The following is a 20,906-nucleotide window of genomic DNA, read 5'->3' as shown; positions in this document are numbered from 1 at the left end:
GGGACCTTCAGAGAAATGACAGTGGTTCCCAACGAAAGAAAAACAACAGACCTCAAATATTGCATTTTTCATGTCTTTATCCTACTCTGTTAATGTGCAAAGGCCTATACTGGGTGTTTGACAGTAAGACTGCTACAAAGAATAGCTGGACTCCTTGTACCCCACTTCCTCTTGAGGTGTGGCTGTAACTCTACAGGCTGAACAGGTGTTTCCAGTTCATTATTTTCATAAAACCTCACAAGCATCTAAAAGATAGAAAGTTCCTGTTGAGGCCTAGGAAACAGAGACTCAGAGAGGTGTACTTACTAGCCCCAGGTCATATAGCTAGAACTGGACAGAGCCAAGGTGTTGAAACTGAACTGTCTAACTCCAGACCCTACAATTGTCCCTCTAAACTATCAACCATGAAGATATCCTGGCAATTAAACAGAAGCATCCACTACCACAAGGATACCTCTTCTCCCTTACAACAGTCTCAAAGTTAACAATGACAAATAATAAAACAAAAGCAAAAAGCAAAACAAGCTCAGTGACACTGATATTCTCAGTGGCATTTCACTAGACTTTGCCTGTAGTTACATATATGTGTTTCAGAAGATCAGTCCAGACATATTTATAGGTTCAAAGAAAAATACAGCAACACACTAATAACAGGATAGGAAAAGATAAGCCTCTCTCTCGGCTGCGTGAAAGAAACCCATGTGGGGAGAACACTGAGCTGTGCAGGACAACGCACTTTGCTTCACTTCAATTATTGTTGATTTGAATGTCTTGTTTATAATAATGGTGTAGAGATCTAGCTATTCACCCATGTTCTTCTCTTAACTAGCTGTAGGTTCTTGATAAATCATGTGACATTTTGGAAATTTATTTTCTCATTTGATATTGATGGGATGGGACAGCATTATGTCTGAGGCACCTTTTGGTTCTAAAAGTAATGACTCTGGATTTGGGTTGCAACCAGATCATGAAAGATTTTGCATGCCAAGTTAAGGTATCTGGACTTTGTCCTGCATACCATGGAAGAAGCACTGAAGAGTTTTAAGCTAGAGGCTGATATAACAGCGGTAGTATTTTTGGAAAATTAATCTCATAACAGGATGCAGGATGAATTGTACTAAGAAAAGCTTAGTGGTATGAAGTTCAGATAAGAGGTTAATGCAGTAAACCCAGGCCTCAGCAGATAAGGGGATGAACTAGGACCCTGTTCTAGAATCTTTATGTAGGACTGCATTATTAGCTGGGCAAGGTCAGGCCCCTGTTGTACTTGACAGTCCTTCAAATGTTAGGAGACAGTATGCTTTTACTTGGTCACTGCTCTTCCAAGATAAATGTCCCCAGTTGTGACAGCTGATCCTCAAATAAGCATTACTTAATAGGTAAAGGTATTTCAAAGCCAAGAAAACACCTATACTTAATTGGTTGTGTTATATAACCTATCTAATTCACAGTTTCTTCATATGCAAAAGGAAAATAATAGTACCTAACACCCAGAATTTTTGAAAGGATTAAATACAAATGCTTTTGTTCGTGGTTTGGAGCTTAATCAATGTTCAATAAACAGCAATATATATTATTTTTATGCATCCTACTTACCTTGTCTGTTACTATTTCAGGTTGGAAGTGCTTTTTCTTAGTTTGTGATTCAGAATTAATATTGACAGTTCTACTGGCCACTGACTTTGGGCCATGTCTCATTTTGAGCATTTGGCTATGCTCTTAAATCTCAATAACTCAGTAAGTTATGTACTACTATTGACTCCATTCTACAGTCAAAGACATAAGGTACAAGATGATTGAGTAACTTTCCAAAGTCACACAACTAGAAGACAATCACAAAGGCAGTATTTAACAGGCAAGCAAATTCCAGAGTCTATGTCTTTAATCACTACAGAAGGCTTCCTCTCTGATCTGTTCAACGCGAGTATACTGTACTGCTTCAAATACGGGCAGCTGTCGAAGATTGTATCCATGGCTTTACAGCATCTGAATCACACCACTGATATATCAATTTTACTGTGGCATGAAGTGCTTCTTTCACACAAACTGCTATATTCTTTTCTTGTTTAGTTTGTTGTTTGAAACTTAGCAGGTAATGTACTTGTTAACTTAAATACCACTTAGTTTTGGCTCATTATTTAAACCTACTGATGTTGCTTACATTTATGATTCTAAATTTTAAAACTATCCTGTTCAGCTCTTCTTATCCACAAATATATTGCTTTTTATTAGGATTTCATCAGAATCATTAGGAAATGTATTACAAAGCTGAAGAACCCAGTACAGAATAAAATCGTACCTAGTAAGCTGTTCCTAGACTAAAATTGTTATACAATCAATATTCACTGGATATAATTGTTTAACTGGCAATGAATTTATATAGATAAATCCTCTTGCATTTCACAATATTTAATTTTCATTACAAGCATACTTGCTCCTGTGAAGCTTCATCAAATGTCCATTTTTATGTACTGAAATGTGTGCTTTATTCTATCCACTCTATTAGCTTTGTGACTTTTCCTTAATTTATTTAATTTTCATAAAGCTCTGTCTCTTCACTTGAAAAACAGAGTAAGTCCCACTATACTTATTTTAATTATTTTTTGTTAGAGCCAAATTAAAGAACATCTAAAATTATTAACTTGACATCCCAACCCAGAATCTTATTGTAAAGAGGAAAGTAATAACATATACATAGAATGCTAACATATAAAAAGTCCTTTTGTGTATTTTTTTTAATTCTTTACTCTTTGCAACCACCCATTAGTTGGGCAGAGTAAATAATATTATCCTTACTTTGCAGAAAAAGAAACACTGACGCTTAAGAGGTTAATTTCCCAAATCCCAAAAGGGGCATTAGAACTGGAACTTGAGCTCAAGTCTGTTAATCTCAAGTGCATATTACTGCTGTTAAAACCAGTAAAGCCCTGAATGAAATTTCAAGTTAAATAGCTCCACACCTGTGTAAGCCTAGGAAAGGAGACATAAAATAGTAATTATTTCCAAATCAAAACAAAACTACTTCTCTTAGAGGGAAAAGAGGTGATTGATATTACCTTGGAAGGAGCATCTGTGGCAGTTTCCCTTCTGCTACTGCTTCCTCATGGGGACAAGTAGGTTGATGTCTGCATGGCCCAGTGGAACAGAAATTAGCACATAACTTCTGAATGAAGTTATGAAAGGAGACTAGCAAAGGTTTCCTACACTAAAGTAATCTCTAGTTATCCTGCCTCTTAGAATTGGAATTATATTAATGTTTGATGGCTACACAAGCACTCTTTTTTTTTTTTTTTTTTTTTTTTTTTTTTTTTTTTTTTTTTTTTTTTGGCAGAGCTAGCTGAAGTTTTATTTTGGACCAAAAAAAAAGCAACTTTGTAGCTGGAGGCATCGGCAAGGGGGGTCCCCAGGTAGTAAACTCCCCTGCGGGTGGGCTGAGGGCTAGGGCTGAGCTTCAGGTGGGTCTCCTGTTCCCAGTGCTACACTGCATGGCGGCCTCCCTCCCAGGCTCTGGGGCAGCGCAGGAGGGGTACAGTCCTACAAGGTGTCCACCTCTGGCCCCTGGGCCTTCAGCAGCCGCTCCTGCACGAGTGGGCCCTGTGCCCGCATGAGCTCCTCGAGCTTCTCCCGAGTGGACAGCAGCAGCTTTCGGGGTGGCCTGGGCAGCGGCTATGGTGGGGCCAGCGGCATGGGAGGGATCACTGCAGTCACGGTCAATCAACCAGAGCCTGCTGAGCCCCCTTATCCTAGAGGTGAACCCCAACATCCAGGCCGTGCGCATCCAGGGGAAGGAGCAGATCAAGACCCTCAACAAGAAGTTTGCCTCCTTCATAGACAAGGTACGGTTCCTGGAGCAGCAGAACAAGATGCTGGAGACCAAGTGGAGCCTCCTGCAGCAGCAGACGACGACTCGGAGCAACATGGACAACATGTTCGAGAGCTACATCAACAACCTTAGGCGGCAGCTGAAGCACTCTTCTTTTAAAAGTTTCTGAAGCCATTAGCTAAAGATTCAGTAACAAAGGTACCCTGAGTGAGAAGTAACCTGCTGTGCGATGGACTCTTCCAGAAGAGTGGGCAGAGATAGTATTCAGATCCTGACAAGAAGAGGAGACAAGTGCCAGGTCACATAACTTCATCTCCCCTAGCTGACCAATTCCCAACTCCAGAAATGCCTGCCCTCTCTCATACACCATTACGTTCAGTGATTCAGTTACTTTCAGAGTCCTGTCTGTGCCAGTGTGGTTGCGCTTGCTATCAGCAAAGCCATCAGGCTTCATTGCTCTTTTTTTCTGATACAAACCCTCAATTAGGACCAACCACAGGAGACCCTCTTCCACTAACTCATGCAAAAAATGTCATCATGGACTGTGTGTTTGGTGGTGAAAGAAAATTTGAGTTCTGTTTCCCCTTTCTAAGTGATATGTAATGGTCACGTTCGGTGTCAAAAGCGTGGAAATCTCAAGATGTGATTCTCTATTTTTTTCAAATCTATCTCATATATTTATGTCAATCACAAGAAAATTCTTTATATTTCTCCAGTTGGATAAGTGCACAAGGCTTATTTTCTCATCAACTTACTTGAAAACCTAATTATACTGAACCAGATGTTGTGTTTAACACCAGTAGATGTGACAAGCAGTCGGTTTTTTACAGTGACACAAATATCAATTCAAACTGCTCTGACTCTACTGTGGGAGCTGGATTCTAATGTGATTACAGTCATTGCCTCATATCTTATTTTTAGTTAAATAAAAAAGGGCGATCAAGTGTTGAATGTGCTATAATATACTGAATCTACATGCAATATAGATCTGAGAAAAATAATTAATATTCAAAAAAAACTGAGGAAAAAATAATTTGCATATTAGAATCATTAAATTCTGAAATTAATTCTTACATTCAGTTTGACTTCTTGTTTAAATATAATAATTAGAGTGAGGAAAAAGGAATTTTTGTCAGAGCCCAAATTCTAACTTTGGCTGTTATTCTAACTGTCCTGAACCTGTGTGTTTAAGTCACCAGGAAGGATAACTTAATTTATGCGGCTATTGAAAGCGATGTCATTCTTCCTGTAGATCCCTGAGTAAATCAGAAAAATTATTGAAAACTACCTATTTTTATTCCAGTCAAATTCTCTGTCTTTGGGGCTAGAGACACTCAGATATATTAGTATTCAGCATGTAATGAAGTACAATGTACTCCTAGTTTAAATCACTTTGCTTATAAGAAACTCTATTCATGTTGACTAGTTTGATACAAATGGTTTGATCTTAAGATTTGAAGGCATGGATGACCTTGGTCTGTCTAAAATTCAGCAGATTATTGGAGAACAATAACACAAAGTCTCCAGCTATATCGAGACATCTTAATTTAGAGTCTTTTCAACTAGTGAAGAAAGCAAGTAGAAACATAGAAGGGTAATATAGAAGAAAATTCTAAATGTATTAGAACCTATTAAAATGTTGAAAATATTTGAAAATTATAATTGATTTTGTTTCTGATTACAAAGTAGCACAAGGTAATTAAAGAAAATTTAGAAAATTGGGAGAAGCAAAAACAAAGAAAATGATACTTGTACTTAAGGTCTGTATTACTTTAGTTCTTTATTTCTAAGCATATACAAAACTCAGACAGAGACATGTACATGCACACAGACTCAAACATGGAGTTGGATCTTAAACAATTTATCTGTGACTGATCTGTGATCTGCTGTGATGGATTTATAGTTTCAATCATGTCATTCATTTTAAGACAATTTTTACATTAGTCATTTAACAGACCATTTAGGTGTCTATTAGTCATCTATTCTACCTAGCTACAGTACAATGTGTTGTGACGTTTGTAGTTTTTACCCTTTGTTCCTGAATTTGGGAAATTCAGAGATCAAGGGGAATTTAAAATATTCCTTTTGCTCCATGTGTCTTGATTTGAGTATTTATATATTTTAATCTAAAGTATATCAGAGGCAAAGGCTTTATCCAGACCAGTAACATTAGCGGTGAACCACTTGCTTGATGTTAGGAGAGAACATGGCATTGGAAAACTACATTATTTCATGTATGTTGGTACTTTAGACAATTATTTTGTATCTTGTGCTAGAGTGATGATGAAAAATATCTCCGCTACCCAAACATAGATTGGGTAGATTCAAGTTTTTGAATCTTAAAAATAAATTTTAACAAGAGTTCCAAATGAGATAATCAGTGTGAAGCTGCAATATACATTTAAATTAAACACCACTTTCCCAAAGGTAGAGGAAGGGTTATATCATTGGTAAGGCAGTGACAATGGGAGGAACTGTAGTGTATTTTTAATGTAAGTATCACTGACAGTTAATGGTAGAGGTTCTGACTTTGGTGTAAGTTTTTTCTGTTTTCTCAGGAAAGAAAAGATTTCCAGAGGACTAAGGTTTAGGTGAAAAGGAAATGAGTTGTTCCCTGTTCTAACCTAGACAAGTCTCTCATATTCTCAGAGGATGGGAACACTTCCATGAATACCTGTAACAATCCTAATGGAGTAATGATCCTTTTAAATAAAAATAACAATAGATGTTATGAGTTTAAAGAAGTCTCCGTGCCTCCAGTGTAATTTAACTCAATAAAAATAAGAGAGAATTGCAGAGTGGGGCCACTTAATCAAACAGTATGTTCCAAAACAGCTCCCAATGGAAACAGCTGCTCCCAGCGAGGACAATTTCGAGTTCAAGACAATTTGTAAATATCAGTTCCTGCTGTTGAACGTTTCCTCTTTATTCTTGTTTAAACTTCATCATTAGATTTTTAGTTGTCTAGTCGTACCTACCATTTTAATGAAATCCAGCTTGATTTCAAACGATCGTCTAATCTACTGTTTTGCCTGGGGTACTGTGTACTCACCCAAATTCTGGTACCTTATCTGACCCCTGCCTTACCTGACTTCTTTCATAATTGATGCCGCATGCTTTATATAAGAAAATAATTTTCCATATATGTACAGGTATGTTTCTGAGGCCTCTATTTTATTCTTTTCACCAATGTGTTTACCCCCCTGAACAGGAGTACAGTGCATTAATTAGTGTAACTTCATGGTGAGTCTTAATATATGGTAGAGCAAAAATCTGCAATTTCCCTGGCTCTTCTTATATTTAAATTTTAGACTTTGTTTATTTTAATCAGAATTGCACTGAATCTAAAGTACAACTAAAGAACAATTGATATCTTTAAAATACCATTTCCTTAACCTTGAATGCATCCTCATTTTCATTTATTTAGGTCTTCATTAATGCATCTTACAGTTTTATAATTTTTCCTATTTATGTCTTGCATATTTACTATTTATAGTTTATTGATAATCTTTGATAAGATAACAAATAATGTCCTCTTTGCAATTACATTTTTTTTTTTGGTTATTTTCAGGGCATAGAATGGCAGTTTTCTTTTTGCATATTAATCTTTTGTTTAGCAAGCTTACAGAACTCTTCTATTATTTTTAATATTTTTTCTGGAGATTGTATTTGGTTTTCCATGTTACAAAATTACATTATTTATAAATAATGACAGTTTAATTTATTCCTTTCCAAACCCTATCCTTCCAATATCTTTTTTGGGGGCTTTGGGAAAATGGTAGAATTAGATTTTTTGAGTAGGAAATATTTGGACCTATTTGGCCAGAAAGGAATATTGTTTAAAATAGCTAGCAAAATGTCCAAGAGGGAGTTCTAAAAGGCAAATAAGTGAATTTGGACTTTATTCCAATAAGGAAGTACTAAACAGTTTTGAAAGATGATTAGATGATGGAAGAGTTATTTGGAGTATAGGGCTAATTAAAGAGAGATGGACTACAGAGGCTGGCTAGAAAATAATTTTAGTCATCAAGGCAATAAGTGATAATGGCATGACATGAAGTATCTCTGTGGACATAAGAATAAAAAATAGAAAATAGATGTTAGGTACTATCCAGGAAGAGACTGACTTACCACAGTGTTCAAGAGAAGGAAGAACAAGAGAGGGAAGAATCTAAAAGGACTCAAATTTAAGCTTTGGTGACTAGAAAAATAATGGTATTGACAGAGAAATATAAAATTCCATAGGAGAAATTGCTTGGGGCTTTGGTTTCCTGACTTATTTGCAATTTTTAAAAATTAAGACCATCCTATTCACAAACCATCAAAAACCATCCTATTCACTTGCTTAAATATCTACAACTCATTGATTTCTTAGTACAGTCACAGAGCTATACAATTGTCTCCATAATCAATGTCAGAACATTTTTTACCATCTTCTGAAAAAACAAAACCAAACAAAAACAGAACAAAAATCTCATACTCATTAGCCGTTACTTGCAATTTTCCCAAACTCACAAACCCTACTCAACCACCATTCTACTTTCCATCTCTGTAGATTTGCCTATTCTGGAATTCAGTATAAATAGAACTATATGGTGTGTTGTCCTTTGTGATGGACTTCTTTCACCTAGACTACTGTTGTCAAGAATTACCTCATATATAAGTGCTGTATTCTTTTTTATTGGTGAATAATATTCCATTTTATGGAAATATCACATTTTGTTTATCTATTCATCAGTTAATAAAAATCTGAGTTATTTCCACTTTTTGATTATTATAAAGAGTACTGCTGTGAACATTCATGTACAAACATTTTATAGATGTATATTTTCATTTTACTAGAAGGAGAATTGTTGAGTCATGTTGGTGACTCTATATTTAAATTTTTGAAGAAATACCAAAATATTTTCCAAAGTGGCTGCAACTTTATTCATTCTTATCAACAACGTAAATGGTTCAATTTTCTCCACATCCTTGACAACACTTGATATTATCTTTTTGATTATAGCTCTCCTGGTGTGTATGAAATAATATCTCAGTGTGATTTTCATTAATATTTCCCTAATGGCAAATGATGCTGATCATCATTGTTGCTTATAATTATTCAAATATGCTTAATAACCATTTGTTTATCTCCTTTGGAGAAATGTCTGTTCCGATCATTTGCCCATCTTTTAATTGGATTACTTTTCTTTAGTAAGCTGTAAGAGTTTCTTTAGAAGTTGTGAGATACAGCTTCCTTGAAAGATATATGATTTGCAAATATTTTTGTCCATTGAGCGACTGTTCAATTTGTTTTGAAGTAAAAAATGTTTTTAACTTTGTAGGAGACCAATTTATCTATTTAAAAAAATTATTTATTTATTTATGTATTTATTTATTTATTTTTGAAACAGAGTCTTGCTCTGTCACCCAGACTGAAGTGCAGTGGCACAATCTGGGCCCACTGCAACCTCTGCCTCCCAGGTTTAAGTGATTCTCCTGCCTCAGCCTCCTGAGTAGCTGGGACTACAGGTGCACGCCACCATGCCCAGCTAATTTTGGTATTTTTAGTATAGACCAGGTTTCGCCATGTTGGCCAGGTTGGTCTTGAACTCCTGACCTCAAGTGATCCACCTGCCTCGGCCTCCCAAAGTGCTGCGATTATCGGTATGAGTCACCATACCCAGCCTAAAAATCTATTTAAATGTCATATCCAATAAATCAGACTAACTCAAGGTCAAGAAAATGCATTATCCTGTTTTCCTCTTTATTAATATAATTTTAACTCCCATATTTATATCTATGATCCATTTTAGTTTGTTTTAATGTATAATGTAAGGTAGTTGTATGAATTTATTATTTTGCATGTGGATATCCAGCTGTTGTGGCACAATTGTTGAGAAGATTAATCTTTCCCCAGTGAATTATGATGACATCTTTGTCAAAATCACTTAACCATAAATGTAAGGTTTTATTCTGTCTGACTAGAAAAGATTGGGTAGGGTACGCTCCACTTCTGTTTTGTCAAAGATTTGATATAGGATTGATACAAAGTCTTCTTTTAAGCATTTAGAAGAATTCACCAGTGAAGCCATTTTTGTCCTCATTTGAGCTTTATGAGGGAAGTTTTCAAATTACTAATTCACTCTCTTTACTATGTCTATTTCCATTTTGTTTCCTCCTTAGTCAGTTTCATTAGTTTGTGTGTTTCTAAGATTTTGTCCGTTTTATTTATGTAACCTACCTGGTTGACAAACAGTTGTGCGCTGTATTCCCTTATAGTCCTTTTTATTTCTGTAATATCCATAATGTAAATTTTGAATCAGATTATTATTTTTGTTTTTGTTATTATCATTATCCCACCAAATACAACCTACACAGATCACTAGTAAATAAAATAGGTACAGAGAGAGTTTTCCAAAAATCTCAGAAGTTTGGCCCCCTTGTCCTTTGTGCTGGTTTCTAAGGCAACCTTAATTAAAACCCACGACTACACAGAATATAACTGAAAGTTCCTTGTGTTGCACAAAACATTATACATTTGTTTATCTCTGATCAATCTACTGAATTTTAGGTGTATTCTAGATATTCTTGTTTGGGAAACTGGATATCTGGATTCAAAGTGTATTTTTCAGTCACCTCTCTGGAAGTAAAAATTGAAGCAATACGTGAAGGAGTTAAGAAGAGAAATGCAGTCTTCAAAGGGACAGATCAGGGAGGCAAGTCTGGACAGTGTATGGCAGGTCAGCAAAGCCAAAGGAGAGTACTATACAGGAGTGTCCAGGAGTGGACAACATCACAGAGATAACAGTTCACAATTTTGAAAGGATCTTTGGATTTCATGATGGGGGAGGTGCTGGTAACTGTTTCAGTACATTATGGTGCTTTGTGTGATCTGCAGTCAACTGTCACCAATTGTAAGTATCTGTCCTTTGGAATGTGCATTACGTGGCTTCCTCAGTACCCAAAGGTATCTTCATAGCTCCAGGAGGTTCTTCTCATTTCTATGTGCTGTCTTAAGCTGCTTCTGCCACTTTGAGGCTTGGGGCTCGCCACTTTAGGAATCAAAATCTTTATCACTTAACTGCTATACTTAGGGCATTATCTCTCCCTGGGTTTCAGCTGTTCCTGCTGTGCATTTGCTGGAACACAAATCTCTATCTGTCTTTGTGCCCAAAGTAGTTTCACCAAATAGAACATTAGAGAAATGTTATTTCCCCAACATACCTAAATTATCTTATCAAAAAAGGCATAGTTTTGAACATGTTTCTATCTGTTATTTACACTCACTTCCAAAAAGATTCTGAAGATGTTTATAAACAATAACTGTGCACATATCTAAGCCATTGAAAACTAGAACGAATCAAAATAATCCTAGTAGTAAGGAGATAATCGTACCAGAAAACTTAGGATAGAATAATTCCTGTTCCTGTGACTGACATCCTTTTAAACCCTAAAACTATTACAGATAGAGCAAAGAGGTAATATGTGGTAAGGATCTTTCTATCCTTTTTTTTTTTTTTTTTTTTTTTTTTTTTGAGAGAATGAGTCTGGCTCTGTAGCCCAGGCTGGAGTGCAGTGGCGCAGTCTCGGCTCACTGCAAACTCCGCCTCCCAGGTTCACGCCATTCTCCTGCCTCAGCCTCCTGAGTAGCTGGGACTACAGGTGCCCGCCACCACAACTGGCTGATTTTTTGTATTTTTAGTAGAGACGGGGTTTCACCGTGTTAACCACGATGGTCTCGATTTCCTGACCTCGTGATCCACCCTCCTTGGCCTCCCAAAGTGCTGGGATTACAGGCATGAGCCACCGCGCCTGGCATTTTCTATCCATTTTTTTTTTTCCTATCGTATAAGCACTGATGATTTTAGCTGCAGAATTAATATATCAGCAAAAAATCTCCTAGAGAAAGGTTTCTCAAATTTTAATTTTAAACTTAAATTTTAATTTAATGATTGTGCAAACAAATAAGCTGAGGATTTTATTACACTGAAGATTGTGATTTAGAAGGTCTGGGACCCGAGCATCTGCATTTCCTCCTAGATCCCAGATGAAGTTAAGACATGTAAGATGCTTTTTGAAACCTTTATTGTTGGCCTCAGCCTCCCAAGTAGCTGGGATTACAGGTGTGTGCCACGATGCCTGGCTAATTTGTTTTGTAGTTTTAGTAGAGTTGAGGTTTTGCCATGTAGGCCAGGCTGGTCTCAAACTCCTGACCTCAGGTGATCTGCCCACGTCGGCTTCCCAAAGTGCTGGGATTACTGGTGTGAGCCACCATGCCCGGCCTCTTTCTTTGTTTTAAGTGCTTCTCATACATGCATTTATTGAGCTTCTTCTTTGTTCTTCTTTCTTCTTTCTTCTTTATGTTTCATTAATTGGCAGAGGTTGCATTAAGTGCAATCTGGCAATCTCTGCCAATTAATGAAACATTCAATCCATTCATACTTAATGTGATGACTAACAGACTTGATATTAATCATTTCATTTCATTTGGTTATTATTTATTTTTCTATGTGGTTTCTTTAACTGTTTCCTATTTTTACTGATTGAATTATTTAATTTCATATTTTTCTCTTTGTTAACTTGGAGTTGCATTACCTCTCTCAAACTAGTAACCTTTATTCCTCTTGGATAAATAGGCACATTTTTCTTTACTGTTTGAAAGCAAAATGCAAATACTCCACTCCTCCTCTATTTTCCTGTGTTGCTCAGTTCCACAATTGTTCACGTTCTTTTTATTTTCTTTTCTGTATGATTCAGGGTTTTCTTATTTAACCACGAGGTTATTGTCACCCATCCACTAAGTCCTTCTACTTTATGGTGACATCTGATTGACAGCTCTTATGTGGGAAAGATAAGTCTCAGAGTGGCAAGAAGGAGGGAGAAAATAAAGGGACTAGCAAAAGAAGGAGAGGTGAAAAGGAGGACTCTCTTTTCTTCCTGGGCCCTGAACCTCCCTAAGGAGGTATCCCTGGAACCTAGTAGAGGTAGGAGGCAGCAACTGTGTATATTTTTATATCCTTCAGCTCCCCTGAATTGGCAGTGAAAATTTGGGTGGGCCAAGAGTCAGAACATATAAACTTCTCAGATAAATAGCTGGGTCCACAAAAATTAAGGGGGCAAGAGACACACACTTTCTTTGCTCTGTTCATTAAAAAAAAAAAGAAAGAAAAGAAAAAAATGTGCTTTTAGAGGCAAGGAGAAGGTTCCAAAAGTTTGAATTTGATCCAAAGTTAAGATGTTTGGCTAATTCAATTAGTAAATTTGAAACTGCTTCCAGAAGATAAGTCAATAGGATAAAAAAAAATAAAATGACCAAAAGTTCTAGAGATCTGTCTATTGATCCTGGAAAATCCTTCACGTGATCGCATATCGTCTGCACACAATAGAACCTAAGAGGAGGGGAATGGAAGCCCTTTATTCTGTGATCCTGGATCAACAGCAATAACCAACATCATTTACAGCGCTTTACACCCTCATCAAATGCATCATATAGAGCCTCTTATTTCATCCTCACAGCAACCCTGTGAGATAGCTGCTATTTTTGTTTCCATTTGCATCTCAAGTTACATAATCTTATTCTCAGAGATTAAATAGTGGCCAAAACCTCAATTAGTTTTGCACCAACCTAACACTTTACCCCTGAAAAGAAAGTCAGTAAATGGTTCCATTGGTATTCAAATGAGGTATCTGATTCTAAATCATGGGCTCTTTCCAGTATGCAGCACTGCCAGGAATGGTATAGCTGCAGCTCCTTTGCGCTACGGTCTTGAAATCATAAGTGAATTCTTCTCTGAAGAATATTTACTAAATAATCTCATTTAGAAAGACATAGCAGCTGGAATAGTCACACTGCTAACTCAATCAGTTTCATTATTTACAATGAATACAAGTAAAGTGGATGAGTATTAAAAACATTGTTTCCTCTGATGTTTTGAAGGATCATGAAGCATGTGACCATGTTCCAGGATCAACATAGTATACAATGTGCAAACCTCCACTCTTAACATTCAGAAAATAATCACTACAAATTATTAAACATCTACTACTTTCCAGTCTCTATGCTAGATATTTTACATATTGCATTTACTTTAAAACCAGTAAAGAAATTATTATTATCTCAACCCACTTAGGGGAATCATGAGGCCCAGAGAAGTTAAGTAAATTGTGCAAGATCACACAGGCAGAATTTTTGGATTTGATACCAGGTTTAACCGTTAGAGCAATTTATGGCAACTTTTTTCTTTCTTCTTGTTCTTACTCTTGTGATTCTCCACCAATGCTCCTCCCTCCTTCCTCTGCTTCTTTTTCTTGCTCGTATTTTAATGTTCTTATACATTTAATGTCCCTTTCCCAATCCACTCTGCGCAAAATTCTCTCCAGTAATGCCACAGAGCAAGAAACAGTTCTGTTTCTGGGAAAAGAGCTGATATATGAAAAGTAAAGACAAATCTTGATTCAGATTAATAGAATTTATTTATTACACACACTATAGCATATAAAAAATACTCCAAATTTCATAATTCTGTTTTCAGGGTCCATATCATGAGTCTGCTTCCTAGGAGTAACTAACTTAAATATCCTTATGACATGGTGAAATTTTCTGCACAGAATCTTAAAATTCCCTTCAATACCTATATTTAAATATTTTTTCCTGGTGATGAAAATAATGAAGGTATACCTGATTTTTCTAATAAATAGAATTCTATTGATTCCATTTCCACACCGATCTCAAACAACTTGTCATTTGAATAAAACCATTATTTTGGAAATGTTGCTCATAGGTAGCATGTTACAAGGTAATTCATTTTATAATTTGTCTATCCTGGCATAAATATGCCCCATGGGGCTTAATGCTTCCTTGAGAGATCTGTAAGAGTACAATTTACTTAATAATATTTCTCTTCTTTTTTTTTCAGTTGCATTATCTAGGGTCTAGTCAACTAGTAGTGATGATGATTACTTTTGGTGCCAAAACAAATGTTAGCATTTAAAACCTTGTCACACACACACATACACACACACACCCACACCACCACCACCATTTTACTTACACACAAGGAGTGAGGTTCAGAGAAGCTCAACAATTTATCTAAGGTCACATAGTCACTTGGTTCGCTCCTAGCACACCAGAGACTATAATCCAGAAGATTAGGTTTCTGGGCCCAAGAGCCTTCTGGTGGACCACCCATTCCTCTGTCTGAACTGCAGATAAACTAATAATAATGAGCATAAAAGTAACAACTAATACATATTGAGTGCTTACTGTGTATGTAGGTGCTGTTTTAAGAGCTTTGCATATTATAGCTTATGAAGTAGTTGATAAATTTACTCAAGATCATATTCCTGAAAAGAGTAAAAATGTAAACCCAGGCCATCTGACATCAGGAGCTGACGTCCTGTTACACTATTAGCATATTCTAAGGTATGAAGCAATTGGTGACTTTAAGGCAAATAGAAAATGTGTATTGTAGATGTTGTCACTTGGATGGTAGAGACTGCAACAAGGGGATCCACTGAATATGCTAGTTTAGGCAGCATGGCTTGGTTTTCTAAGTTTATCTTTGGGTATAAATAGAATTTCATCAATTATGTCTCCATACATCTGACAGCTGCAGCAGGAGCACCATCAGGAGGCATTGCAAGCACAATGACTGCCTGTTTCCTGGACGCTCACAGCAGAGTATATAGTACGCAGAGGAGTTGAGACAGATATAATAAACTCCTGGGTCTCAATTCTCTTCCAAAAGTAGCTAATTTCTTCCATATAATTCATTCCTATCACCTCCTTTGCAATGTTTCATGCTACCATTTTCATGAGAAATTTGAACTCCACTGCCTCAGTTATAAGACATGGAATAATAGGACTCCTTTTTTAACTTATTTACCTGAGTACCTAGTTAGAAATAGTCAAATGTTGCAAAGTCCAAGATCTGAGAGTTATAAACATAGATTTATGTGATGGAATAGAATGCATGGATTTCCACACTGGGACAGAGATTGATCAGTTCTTCAACCCAGACAGTGATGCCAAAATGTTTATGATTCTACCTTTCTATGGGCAGCAGTCTATTCCTGCCTGACACGTCATAGGTGCTCAAAAATATGTCAACTAAATTAATTTGAGTTAGATTTATCTTATGTTTTAATTTTAAATTTTTATTTATTTTTATTTTTAATTTTTATCTATTTATTTTATTTTTGAGACAGGGTCTTACTCTGTCTTACTGTCAGTCTGGAGTGCATGATCAGGACTCACTGTAGCCTCGACCTCCCAGGTTTAAGCAATCTCCTGCCTCAGCCCCCAGATAGCTGGGACTGTAGGCATGCACCACCATCCCTGGCTAATTTTTTGTATTTTTAGTAGACGTGGTGTTTCACCATGTTGGCCAGGCTGGTCCCAAACTCCTGGACTCAAGCAATCTGCCCACCTCGGCCTCCCAAAATTCTGGGATTATGGTGTGAGCCACCATGCCTGGCTAGCTAGACTATAAGTAGGGGTTAGGGACACCATATTAAAGCCTGAAACCAGAATCTAATAATTGTAGGCACTTTGCTCCCAGGAGGCAAATAGAAGGTGTATTTACATCTGGCAAGCATTCAGTAAAAGCTTGAAGTCAATGCCAGGAAATATTGAGTGTCAGGCATGAAATCAGCAGAGGAAAAGGAGATGCAGTGAGACAAAGATAAGGAGACTTGAAAGTGAGTCAAGAGCTGTTTTAGCTAAAAAGCCCTGAATATTTCTGCAGAGACAGGAGGTGCCAGGGATTAGTTTCCCACTACCCAGTCAATGGGGTGGGATCCTCTCTTACTTACATGATATTGGAGGGTCATGAATGGCTATCTCAAAACACCCCTTATTTTCTATTGTAGACTTCCCATTTAGAAAAAAAAAAGCTGTTTATAGTTTTACATTGTTCTTTGTTTTTGGACAAAATGAAAGAATAATCAATTAACATACCCTTTGAAAAGTTAGATCTCCTTTTACTTACCACTTAATTGTTCTGTAGTATTAAGTATATGTTATACAACTTTATTGAGCCCCAAATTTCTCTAAGAAATATGGGGTTGATAACACCCAAAGGTCTAGACATGAATTTGACCAGTACCTAGATTAACTAGATAAGATAAAAAAAGATAGAAGTTTCTACTTGGCCAGCAACCGGATATCTGGCATCCGGTTGGATAGCTATGATAAGGCCAACATAAACATAGCCTTCATTAGTAGAAATGGGGAGTTTGGTTTATGAGAAGTAGCGGTCATTTTACAGTCAGCACTGCTCAGAGCACATCTGGAGGGTTATTTCCATTTATTATGTTGCATTTTAAGTGGGACATTAACAGACTACTGCATATTAGCTACTTAAAGGGAAGGATCATAGCTTATATTATTTTATCTTCTATAGCACCACACAATACCTTGTATTCAGTAAAAATTTGATAAGTGCTTTCTGAATGGAGGAGTCAACAAATGATTATAAAACTATGGCAGAGTAGATGTGAGTGTAAGAGCTGAGTTCAAAGAAGAATAAATGAAATATTAATACTCCTTATGAAATACTCTGTGTTACGCCCAGAAGATAGCACCATGAAAAACGGATGAAAGTTATGAAAAGCAAAATGTGGCTCACCATAAGAAGGAGCTTCATGACAATTGGGGCTGCCTGGAGCAGAGTGTTGGCAAGGATGAAACAGTGCTGGAGGTGTTAAGCAGTGTGTCAGTGACCACTGGCAGCAGAGGGGACCACCATGTTGTATGGGGAGTCTGCCTGTGTAGCTGTTTGAATCACTTCCACTGACAAATCTGTGATTTTACATTTACTGATCCCAACATGTGAAAGTGACTATAAACCTACAACCTTTGGGCAAAGTATCAGCGGGGTGGTATTTAATAGGAATATTAGAAATAATGTGTGTATGGATGAAGCTGGAAACCATCATTCTCAGCAAACTATCACAAAGACAAAAAACCAAACAACGCATGTTCTCACTCATAGGTGGGAATTGAACAATGAGAACACTTGGACACAGGAAGGGGAACATCACACATCAGGGCCTGTTGTGGGGTGGGGGAGGGGGGAGGGATAGCATTTGGAGATATACCTAATGTTAAATGACGAGTTACTGGGTGCAGCACACCAACATGGCACATGTATACATATGTAACTAACCTGCACGTTGTGCACATGTACCCTAAAACTTAAAGTATAATAATAAAAAAAATACATACAACTGAAAAAAAAAGAAATAATGTGTGTACATACCACATTTGCACACACATGTTGTTTCTTAGGAAACATATGTATTTGGGTGAACAGACAGGAAGTTATTTTTAACATGCTTATTTGCAGAAGATGAGAATTTAAAAGTGCAGTTTATCTCATTTAAGAATAATTTTATTTTATTTACTTATTGTTATTTTTAGAGGAAGAGTCTCACTCTGTCACCCAGGCTAGAGAACAGTGGCATGATCATAGGTCATTGCAGCCTCAAACTCCTGAACTCAAATGATCCTGCCACCTAAGTCTCCTTGAGTAGATAGGACTATAGGCACACACCGCCACACCTAGCTAATTAAAATAAAAATTTTGTAGAGACAGGGCTCTTGCCTGGTTGCCCAGGCTGGATTTGAACTCTTGACTTCAAACAATCCTCCCACCTAGACCTCCCAATTTGCTGGGATTAAAAGCATGAGACACCATTTTTGTCTTTTAAATTATGAAAGTCTTTTTAAAATAAAAACATAAAAAAGGCACTTGCAACACTAATGAAAATATCATTAGGATACATGGTATATGCACATGCAAGTTGAGATTTTAGTGTGTGGATTCTATTCTGTAGCTTTGGGGGTTCCTTAATGCAGTGTAAGTCTCTTTGTGTCAAGTGACCAATTCTTTCTAAGAAGCTACTCAACTCTCTGTGCTTAACATTGGCTGAATTAGGGTAAAAAAAAAATTGATTGGATTGAAACAGCTCATCAGTTGCTTGGCTAACAAGGAAATTTCATACCTGAATCCTCTGATCCGTTTGTGTAGACAGAGCAGGGAGCACATTCCAGGGAGGGTGTGAGGAATGTACACAGTTCATGACATGACTATTGTGGTCACCAGAACACAAAATCTGGCTTGGGAATTTCACATCTTTACTGACCACAGTAGGAAAAAAAAAAAAAAAAGCTAATAAGTATCAGTTGTATTTTTTTTTAAATCATTTATGACCTCGGCTTTTATAAGATGTAGTAGTACTCTCCTTGTGGCTGCCAGATGTGTGGCTAAATGACTTAAAGAAAATATCTTCCATAAAATCTGGCGTGAGACTTATGACAATGATCTGATAATGCTCTGCCCTATTAAATCTACCAAATGGCATTGTAATTAAGGTTTATTTAAGGGTTGAATTTGCTAAGCATTTAACATGTGATAGTTTATTTAATCATAACAGCACCCCTTTTACACCATTCCTATTATAATCCCCATTTAATAGATAAGTACATTGATACTCAGAGGATTCAGCAAGTATATGAATCACCTTCTACGATCCCTTTGTAAAGTGTATTTTCCTTAGAAAAAACCCAAAATGATCTCTCTCAGGCTAGGTCAGCATAAAAATGCAAAGAAAGAAGAAAAAACAATGCAACATACAGAGCCTTTGGTAATAAGATCAGAGTGTCAGTAAAACTTTCTAATTGCTCCTAGTTGCTCAGGAAAGAGTCCAGGAATGCTTCCCAGAATAATAACCTCCAATTCATCAATTAAAAGATAAGTTGCCATTATCTAGGCCAATTTGAGAGAGTCACAGGCGCCAAGATGCAGAGGAAAGCCAGAATATGATGTGTGGTAGAGCTCAGACAGGGCAGGAAGATGAGGGAACTGTAGATAAATGTGTGTAGACATAGAGTATGGAAAGATATAAATGAATAGTAAGCTATGGCAGAAGATCCCAGAGGATGTTGAATGTTATATAAAGGAGCTTTGGCTTTTTTACTAAGAAGTACAAGAAGCTTTAAGCCAGTGAACAGATTTGCATTTCCAAGCAATAACACTAGTTACTTATGTAGAGAAGAGCAGGGCCAGAGAGGTAGCCTACTTAAAAAAATGTTATTACATGAATCTAGGGGAAATATGATGTTGGACCAAACTAAGGTAGTGCCAGAGCAAATGCAAAGGGATTTGGGAAATGCTTGTACAGTAAAATTGACAGATGAGATGTGTTGCAGGACAGAAAGCAGAGTCAAGGATGACACCAAAGTTGCTGCTTGAGCAAATGAGCTTTGGAAGAGAATAGATATCAATGCTGACTCCTGAGCATCTCCCAGGGGTCAGTTGAGGCTGGAGAGCATGACTTTGCAGTTGTTCTAATTTGCATGAATGGGGTGGGCACAGTGGCTTATGCCTGTAATCCCAGCACTTTGGGAGAATGAGGCAGGCAGATCACTTGAGGTCAGGAGTTTGAGATGAGTCTGGCCAGCATGGCAAAACCCTGTCTGTACTAGAAATACAAAAATTAGCCAGGCATGCGCACCTGTAATCCCAGCTACTCGGGAGGCTGAGGCACTTGAACCTGGGAGGGGAAGGTTGCAGTGAGCAGATATGCCACTGCACTTCAGCCCGGGTGTGAGAGTGAGAATCTGTCTCAAAAAAAAGAAAGAAAGAAAGAAAGAAAGAAAGAAAATTGCATGAATGGTATATTTCTACAGCATCAATTTGGGGGCAAAAAGTAGCATCAGAGAAGGCTGACTTTTTATCCAGAAAAGGTGATTTTCTGAGTAGGGGTGACAAGAAGGCAGTGGGGAAAGTAATGTGAAGTAATAGCAAGAGTATTGCAGTGATGTATCTTAGAATCTAAACCAGTGAGAGGGAGAATTGCAGAAAGAAGGGAACTAGCAATACGGGTAAATTAAAGAGGCCACATGCTGAAAGTCCTCATGCACGAGGGACACATGCAATTGGAATAAGAGAGCTGTAAGAATGGGGAGCTGTCAACTTGAACTTCAGAGAATGGAATGATTTTTTGGGGGATTTTAAGAGATCATGTAAGCTGTTCCAGATGTTGATGGTCTTCCGGGTTTGGATGATTGAAATGGAGTAAAGGCAGACCTCAC

General features: G+C 37.1%; 1 protein-coding gene, 1 long non-coding RNA gene and 1 pseudogene across 11 annotated transcripts in view, besides 2 other annotated features; 2 read left to right on the top strand and 1 right to left on the bottom strand.

The window, feature by feature from the left end:
* The window catches only part of CHRM2 (cholinergic receptor muscarinic 2), a 151,562-nt gene that overhangs the window by 77,972 nt on the left and 52,684 nt on the right, over positions 1–20,906 (bottom strand). The gene's annotated exons all lie outside the window — the stretch shown is intronic.
* The window catches only part of LOC349160 (uncharacterized), a 265,569-nt gene that overhangs the window by 222,100 nt on the left and 22,563 nt on the right, over positions 1–20,906 (top strand). The window lies entirely within an intron of this gene.
* Positions 3,531–3,974, top strand: KRT8P51 (keratin 8 pseudogene 51; annotated as a pseudogene).
* Positions 6,037–6,206: an enhancer, noted in NCBI's record as "experimental_97763 CRE fragment used in MPRA reporter constructs". NCBI's record gives its function as "activates a minimal promoter by MPRAs in K562 erythroleukemia cells, with activity observed for the non-introgressed 7:136620868 variant allele {active_cell/tissue: K562}" and the evidence as "EXISTENCE:reporter gene assay evidence [ECO:0000049][PMID:34662402]".
* Positions 12,657–12,826: an enhancer, noted in NCBI's record as "experimental_97737 CRE fragment used in MPRA reporter constructs". NCBI's record gives its function as "activates a minimal promoter by MPRAs in K562 erythroleukemia cells, with activity observed for both the introgressed and non-introgressed 7:136614248 variant alleles {active_cell/tissue: K562}" and the evidence as "EXISTENCE:reporter gene assay evidence [ECO:0000049][PMID:34662402]".

Source organism: Homo sapiens, chromosome 7 (genome assembly GCF_000001405.40).
Source record: "Homo sapiens chromosome 7, GRCh38.p14 Primary Assembly".
NCBI classification, from domain to species: Eukaryota; Metazoa; Chordata; class Mammalia; order Primates; family Hominidae; genus Homo; species Homo sapiens.
The sequence above is the reverse complement of the archived record's forward strand: the minus strand, read 5'-3'. Positions and strand labels throughout refer to the sequence as shown.